This window comes from Homo sapiens, chromosome 9 (assembly GCF_000001405.40).
Source record: "Homo sapiens chromosome 9, GRCh38.p14 Primary Assembly".
Taxonomy (NCBI): Eukaryota; Metazoa; Chordata; class Mammalia; order Primates; family Hominidae; genus Homo; species Homo sapiens.
In genome coordinates this window covers 134,928,223-134,936,029 of record NC_000009.12, presented here as the reverse complement: position 1 = coordinate 134,936,029, position 7,807 = coordinate 134,928,223, and the positions used below count along the sequence as shown (strand labels likewise).

General features: G+C 53.2%; 4 annotated features.

The window, feature by feature from the left end:
• Positions 2,934-2,993: an enhancer, noted in NCBI's record as "active region_29291". NCBI's record gives its function as "activates an Ori minimal core promoter by ATAC-STARR-seq in GM12878 lymphoblastoid cells {active_cell/tissue: GM12878}" and the evidence as "EXISTENCE:reporter gene assay evidence [ECO:0000049][PMID:35858748]".
• Positions 5,202-5,321: a silencer, noted in NCBI's record as "silent region_20482". NCBI's record gives its function as "represses an Ori minimal core promoter by ATAC-STARR-seq in GM12878 lymphoblastoid cells {active_cell/tissue: GM12878}" and the evidence as "EXISTENCE:reporter gene assay evidence [ECO:0000049][PMID:35858748]".
• Positions 5,802-6,659: an enhancer, noted in NCBI's record as "H3K4me1 hESC enhancer chr9:137821217-137822074 (GRCh37/hg19 assembly coordinates)". NCBI's record gives its function as "activates a minimal SCP1, AML or CMV promoter by ChIP-STARR-seq in primed H9 embryonic stem cells {active_cell/tissue: H9 hESC(primed)}" and the evidence as "EXISTENCE:reporter gene assay evidence [ECO:0000049][PMID:30033119]".
• Positions 6,660-7,518: an enhancer, noted in NCBI's record as "H3K4me1 hESC enhancer chr9:137820358-137821216 (GRCh37/hg19 assembly coordinates)". NCBI's record gives its function as "activates a minimal SCP1, AML or CMV promoter by ChIP-STARR-seq in naive H9 embryonic stem cells {active_cell/tissue: H9 hESC(naive)}" and the evidence as "EXISTENCE:reporter gene assay evidence [ECO:0000049][PMID:30033119]".

Genomic DNA, 7,807 nt, shown 5'->3' with positions numbered 1-7,807 from the left:
CATCACCATACCCTTCAGCAAGGTTGATCCTGTCCTAATGCGAGTTTAAAAATTAAATCCACTTCGATGAACAAATGTCCTTTGCAGCTTCATCCCATTCTTTTATGCAGAGTAAATATGTTTGCACAATGGCTCTGGGAACAGCGCTCCAGAGCGGATCACACACGCGTACAACCCGGCTCGCGGCCCTGACTCCATGCATTATATATGACAGTCCCAATCCAGTCTCGCCACCGTGCTGGGGAGCGGGCAGCAGCTTGTCAGCGCCTTTAAATCAAGCGCGAAGCAGATTGTGAGCTGGTTCTGGGGAACAAAAAGCAGTAAAATAATTTGGGATTTTGAGAACCATTAGTTTAACTTAGGTGAGAATACGTGCCTGGAGTTTTCTCATCTGTTCATAAGCTTTAAAAATATACACAAAGCTGAACAACAAAAACAACCACCACCAAAAAAACAGCAATTGCCCCTTCTCCAAAACCGACCCTGCTTCCCAGTTTGTTTTTCCCGGGTTTGTGGAAGGTGACAGTGACCTCTCTCCTACACAGAGCTGTCGGTGGAGGCTGGAGATTTGGTCGCGCCACCGTGTTCTAGGGTTTGGAGACTCAATTAAGATATTAAAAATAGGACTTGGGGCCAGCAGGGTGCTTCCGTGGAGCTGTCTTTGTTTATGTCTTCAGCAAGCGGCCTGTGAAAGCCCCTCCAGTCCCAGGGAGGCTGGAGAGTTCTAAAGGGGATTATCTGCCTCCCGGGGTATAAATTCCAGTTTACTCTGACACAAACTATTACCCTGCAAACACTGGCCATCCGTCTTCAGGTGCCCGGCAGATACTCGGCGCCGGTGCTATTATCTCTGGGAAATTAAAGTGGGCCGCAGGGTGAGGGATGCTTACTGCTGGAGCCCCAGGTTCCTCTGCCTCAAGGCCGACGCTGACCTCCAAATAGTCCCAAGCATGAATTGGTTTGTCTCTCTGGGTGGTGATGCCCGACGTCCTCACTCTCACCCTCTGCTCCTTCGTAAGGGTTGATAAGCACCTCACCTTTTCTAGCTGGTAGGGGGCTTTATAAAGGGCAATGTTGCTGCTGCCAGCCCAGGGGTCTGAGCAAGGAGGAGGTGACAGTGCTGGGACAGAGGAAAGGGGAAGGAGAAAAGAAGGAAGGAAGAGGGGAGAGGAAGAAAAGACCATGTTGCATAGCAGAGCAGGGCCTGTCCCACCCTGCTATCCTGGGCTAGAGAAAATCCCCCCTTTAAAGTATTCAGAGTCAGGCTCCCTTCCTCACCATCTAAGAACCCCTGGGCCTGGGTGCTGGGGGAGGCCCACTCGGTACCTTCATCCCAGCACTCTTTGTCCAACGTAAAGGCTTTGTTGAGATGTAAATCACAGACCATAGAATTCACCCTTTTATTTTATTTTATTTTATTTATTTTTTAAAGACAGATTCTAACCCCGTTGCCCAGTCTGGAGTGCAGTGGTGTGATGTCAGCTCACTGCCACCTCCACCCCCCGGGTTCAAGCAATTCTCCTGCCTCAGCCTCCCCAGTAGCTAAGGTTACAGGCATGCGCCAACACGCCTGGCTAATTTTTGTATTTTTAGTAGAAATGGGGTTTCACCATGTTGGCCAAACTGGTCTCAACCTCCTGGCCTCAAGTGATCCACCCACCTCGGCCTCCCAAAGTGCAGGGATTACAGGCGGGAGCCGCTGCGCCTGGCGGAATTCGCCCTTTTAAAGTGCACAGGTTTTCTGTATAGTTACAGGATCGTGCAGCCATCATCATATTCTAGTTTTAGGACATTTTCATCACCTTAAAAGAAACCCTGGACCCTTTGGCTGTTACCCCCCTGCCACCCTTCTTCTCATCCCCTGGCCACAAGGAATGTTCTCTCTGTCTGTCAATCGGCCCATTGTGGCGATTTCCCGTCAGTGGAATCCTGGGCTGTGTGGCCTGGCTTCTCATGTGGGGCATGTTAGGAGGGCTTGCCCTGTTGTTGCCTGGACCCATGCTCCCTGCCTTCCGTGGCTCACTCTTGTTGCCCTCTGCTCCCTCATAAGGGCTGATAAGCACCTCACCTTTTGTAGCTGGTAGGGGGCTTTATAAAGGGCAATGTTGCTGCCAGCCCAGGGATCTGGGCAGGGAGGAGGTGACAGCACGGGGACAGAGGAAACGGGGAAGGACTCTCCCCTCTGTGGGGAGACCACACTGTGTTCATCCCTTTCTGTTGAGGGTACCTGGGTCACCTCCACCTTTTGGGGATTGTGAAGTGTGCTACTATGAACGTGCTTGTGCGGGGGTTTGTGTGGAGGCCTGTTTCATTTCTCTTGGGTATATTCCCAAGGTTGCTGCTGGGGGCTGTTGGAGGAGCTGCCAGCCTGTTTCTACCACAGCTGCCCCATCTCACATTCCCACGTCCTAAGCATGTTATTGGTCGGCTTTGCCTTGAGCACTGGAACAAACCACCCTGTTGGCAGGTGTGCCTTTTGCTGAACCCATTCTCTACAGATGTTAGGATCTCTTACTGCAAAGGAGATCCTGACACAAGAGCCGGGGGACCCTTGCCTGCCCATGAGGCCTGAGTAGTGGCAGGGTCACCAGCTGACGGCGACAGTGACTCCTGGAATTGGAAGACGGAGCCAGCGGGGCAGGGTGGGGGGTCAGGGGGTGGAGAGGAGAGTCAGCTTCAGCAGAGAAGGCTCTGAAAGGTCATCTGGTCTCAATGGTTGGAGTCCGTCCTGTTGCAGAGCTTGCTCAAAGCTGTACTGGAGCCCTGGCTTCTCGCCCACCCTTTCCCTGGCCTGGGCTGCCACTGGGCACTGCAGCCTGGACTATCTGGAGTCAGGGAGTTTATCTGGCAGGAGGCACCCATCCTCCAGAGGGGCCTGCCATCAGGTGCCCTCTGGAGAGGCTACCAGGGGCAGGGAACTGGGTCTGCTGGGTCGGCTTTTGCCTTTCAAACTTGGTAGCCACCCCCCAGTCACTCCAGGAAGAGGAAGAAGACACCTCTGAGGCTGGAGGAAAGAAATCGGGCAGAATTTACTCCCTTGCTACCAGAACTCTATGAATACCTGGCCTGTTTGTTCAAGCAGGCTTGAGCTCTGCTACCTGTGTCCCTGGTGTGCTGTGAATGGAGCACGAGACATAACACCAAGCAGGACCCATGGGGCTCTGCAGGGGAGAAGACAGACCAGGTTGTGTGTGTGTGTGTGTGTGTGTGCACTCATGTGTGCGTTCGTGCACGTGTGTAAAGAATGAGTTCTTACCACTCTAGACAATGGAGAACTAGTTTTTCTGGGCTTCGTTTTTAGTGAGTCATTGACTTCTTCCTAATCAAATGATCTATGTAGAAAAACACCAGTAGGACTGACAGATACATGGCCTATTTCTGCTAGACATATTGGGCCTACAGAAGTCCAAACCATTTCTTTTCCCCAGCAATGCCAATTAGAAAATATAATTCTGAAAAAGATGCCATTCACCACAGGAACAGAATTCATTAAGTATCTAGGAATCAACCAAAAATGTCCACTCTGATACAAGATGTGGAAGACAGTCTGAAGACGGGCAGGGCTCTGCGCGCTCCACACTCTCAGAAGCAGCGGCCTGATGTCAGGACAATGCCGAGTGTCTCCAGACGAACCCACAAATTCAACGCAATCGCAATCAAGAGTGCTTGTGGAGCTCAGCAGTGATGGAGGAGTTAAGGTCCTCAGATGGCTAGCTCAACATTAGAAAAGAAGGGCAAAGGGCGTGGGCTTGTCTTGTGAGATAGGAAGATGCCCTGCAAAGACGCAGCAATAAATGCCACGTGGCACTGGCAAGAAGAGCAACGGCCTAGAACCAAGAGCCCAGAGACATGGCCAACATTGACCCAAGTGGGAACTTAAATCCCAAAGGCAACACTGCAAATCCAATGGGGAAGGAGCATGTGGTCTGGTTGATGTTTGCTTAGCAGATAGAGGTCAGCAATGAATTTCTACACCTGTGGGTCACAGACACGGGAGGACTCCATGGATTAAAGGGCCAGATTGGAAAAGTAGAAAATCAGAAAGCCAAAAGACTGCAGAGTATCTTTAGGGCTTAAGGGCTGCAAAAGCCTTCTTAAAGAAAACTTATTTATTTAGACAGGGTCTCAACCTGTCATCCAGGCTGGAGTGCAGTGGTATAATCACAGCTCACTGCAGCCTCGAATTCCTGGGCTTAAAGGATCCCCCCACCTCAGCCTCCTGAGCAGCTAGGGCTACTGGCATGTACCAACACACCTGGCTAATTTATTTTTTTGTAGGGATAGGGTCTCGCCATGTGGTCTTGAAGTCTTGGGCTCAAGCAATCCTCCTACCTTGGCTTCCTGAAGTGCTGGGATTCTGGTTCAAACTCGCTACACATAGGGAAACCGAGGCTCTGAGGGGGGAGCACGGTGTGCGTGCACATACACACACACACAGGCACACACCTGGTCTGTCTTCTCCACTGCAGAGCCTCACGGGTCACACGCACACACCTGGTCTGGGATTACAGGCATGAGCAACCACACTCAGCTAAGAAAACTTTAGAAGCCAAAATTACTAGCTCAAAAAACTGTAGGGGGCAAAGTCCACGGAGAGCTGATAGAAAGGAAGAAGAGATTTGCAATGTCTGAAGCCCACAAAGGTCGATGTCTAGAGCTAAGGCATGAGCAGTGAAAGGCAGCAGTTCCCGCAGAGAAAGCTAGGAAGGAGCAGTTTACTCGGGCAGCAGTTACGTTGTCCACTGTGAAGCTCATGAGCACCAGCAAGATGTTCCAAATCCCGGGCACACTCAGGAAGCAGGAGCGTGCAAAGAGTCGGTGGGAAAATGTAGAAACCAGCACCGGGCCGGGCGGGGTGGCTCATGCCTGTAATCCCAGCATTTTGGGAGGCCGAGGCGGGTGGATCACGAGGTCAGGAGATCGTGACCATCCTGGCTAACACAGTGAAACCCCGTCTCTACTAAAAAATACAAAAAATTTAGCTGGGCATGGTGGCAGGTGCCTGTAGTCCCAACTACTCAGGAGGCTGAGGCAGGAGAATGGCGTGAACCCGGGAGGCGGAGCTTGCAGTGAGCCGAGATCGCACCACAGCACTCCAGCCTGGGCGACAGAGCGAGACTCTGTCTCAAAAAAAAAAAAAAAAAAAAAAAAAAACAGCCAGCACGGCCCCCACTGGAGCACAGCCTTTCTATACAGTCCAGTTTTACTGCTCGAAGTCCCCACCTTGGTGTGAGCCAGGAGGACTCTGACACAGGTTCCGTCGGGGGCGGGTAGGGGGGGGAGGCGGCGATTGGGGGCGGGGGTGGCACTGCAGCATTGGCGCTGGGAGTGAAGGTAGGCTTACAGGCCACCTGGGTCACCCAGTAGGTGCAGCCCGGGGAGTGTGGCACGGCTGTGGAAAGCGTCGGGCTGAATGCAGATGCACCAGGATGGGTGATGGTAAAAGTCACACGTGCATGATGCAAATTCGGTGGAGGAAGTAATGTTCAGAGCCAGGTGCCACAGATGCCATTTACCTAAGTTAAAAATACACACACACAGATTCATTTTGAAAGAACATGGTTAAAATAAAAAGCTATGCACTAAACACAAGAAAGTGTTGTTTAGGCATGGAGGAGAGGCAGGGAAAGAGAAGGAGTGTGGGATAAAGGGAGAGGGAGAGAAAGGAGTCTGTGGGGACGCGGCACTGGTGGATAATGGTGCCTACCCCGGCCCCAGGCCTTTCGAGGTTGGATTTTTGGCTTCTCTGGTGTCCGCTGGTGTTTGCAGAGCCCCAGAACATCCTCGCACCCTGCTCTCTGCAGCAGCATTCCCCCCAAGCACACCTACCAGGAGGTGGGGAAAGCAAATCTACCCACTCTTCCCTGGAGACCCGAGGAGGACTGGCATTCCATCCAGGTGGCTCCCTTTGCTGGAAGAACCCTTGGGAGGACTATGGCCATTTGTCTGGGAGATGGAGCAAAGGGGAGGAAGGCCAAGAGAAACCATTGCTTGGACCTAGGGACACGGGGAGAGGGGAGGGAGAAGACTGCTCTGTGCAGTACGACTCTCCCTCAACTCAGCATGACTGTCCCCCAAACTCAGCACCACTACTCCCTGCTCTTGGCATGACTGTCCCAACTCTCAGCAGGGCTGTCTCTCCCTCTCAGCAGAAGGGGCTGCAGCTCTCACCTGCCCTTATTGGCATGGCCTGCCAGGAGCTGGTCCAAGGTCCCGCATCCCAGGTGGGGAGAGCCCCGGTCTGTGTGGACCCACAGTCCCTGCTCCTCACACAGGCATGGGGCTGCTGGGAGGCCTCCCACTCAGGGGGATAACAGGTGCTCAATAAACCTCATGCTCCCAGGCTGGGGCCTGATGCCTGAGTCAGGAGGCAGGGGTGGCCTGGGCTGTCCTGAGGACTGGACGAGGTGGGATATTGGTGAGGAAGAGGTAGTGAGGGGTCAGGCTGGGTCAACTCCGTGAGCTGCTGGGTCCCTGCCCAGGGGTTGGGGATGGAATAATTCCATGGGTCTTCCGAAAACCCCTGTCCTGGAGCCGGCACATGGTGACAGAGCGTGCCTCTCTGGAGAAAAGAATGAGGAACCTAGGGCAGGAATGGGGCTAGTCAGCCACAAGGAGGAAGCAGGGGCAGAAGTGGGGCTAGTTAGCCACAAGGAGGAAGCAGGGCCGTGTGTCCTGAGGTTGAGGAGAGGAAGCCCATGGGTGTGGACGCATCTGGCATTGCTCAAGGAAAGTCCTGGATTCCTCTTCCCCCCAATAAGAAATAACCAAACAGAGGTGGAGCAGGCAGCCCTTGGTCCCTTTCCTGGGGTCTGGGCTCTGGTTTGACTCGGCAGAGAACCTCTCCCCAGCGGCAGGGCTGCAGGCACAGTCTGTCCTCACAGCCAAGCAAAGGTGCCCTCTGCTTCCTCACAGGACCCTAAAGAGTAATGTGTGGAGGGCCCCACCGGGTCCAGCCAGGCGAGCTGTCCATCTTCCCACCACCAGCCAGACACGATAAGCAGAAAATGAGGGGGCGTGTCCCAACAGAGGGACGGGGATAGCCCAGCCCAGGGGATACGCCTGGGCTCGACACTGGTTCCAACCCCCACTCCGGAGGGAGCCAACTGCCCTGTGGCAGCTCTGGTGCCTGGAGGAGCCAGGTCTCTGGGTGGGTGAAGGGGACACAGCTGCTGCTCTCAGGTGCCCACTGGGGCCGGTGGGTCCTGGAAAGCTCCACCAGCAATGGTGGCACATTTTAAGGAGAACCTGGCTCTAGGTGTCACTCTAAGTCGGTTCCTGACTCCACGGCTCTCCGCTGGGCTTTTGGTGATGTTGCTTCACCTGCTGAGGCCATAACTTGGACATCTACCCCCAAGGTCTGCATTAGCAGAACTTTAGTGTTCCTTGAGACTCTTGCTCAGGAAGATGAAACTTGCAAAGGACTTCATTGCTCATTGCAGGAATCTCCCTAAAGACCCTGTATTAGTCAGGGTTCCCTAGAGGGACAGAACTAATAGATGTATATATGAAGGGGAATTGATTAGGAGAATTGACTTACGCGATAACAAAGTGAAGTCCCACCATAGGCCATCTGCAAGTTGAGGAGCAAGGAAGCCAGTCTGAGTCCCAAAACCTCAAAAGTAGGGAAGCCGACAGTGCAGCCTTCAGTCTGTGGCCAAAGGCCTGAGAGCCCCTGGCAAACCACTGGTGTAAGTCCAAGAGTCCAAAAACTGAAGAACTTGAGTCTGATGTTCGAGGGCAGGAAGCATCGAGCACAGGAGAAAGATGAAGGCTGGAAGACTCAGAAAGTCTAGTCCTTCCATCT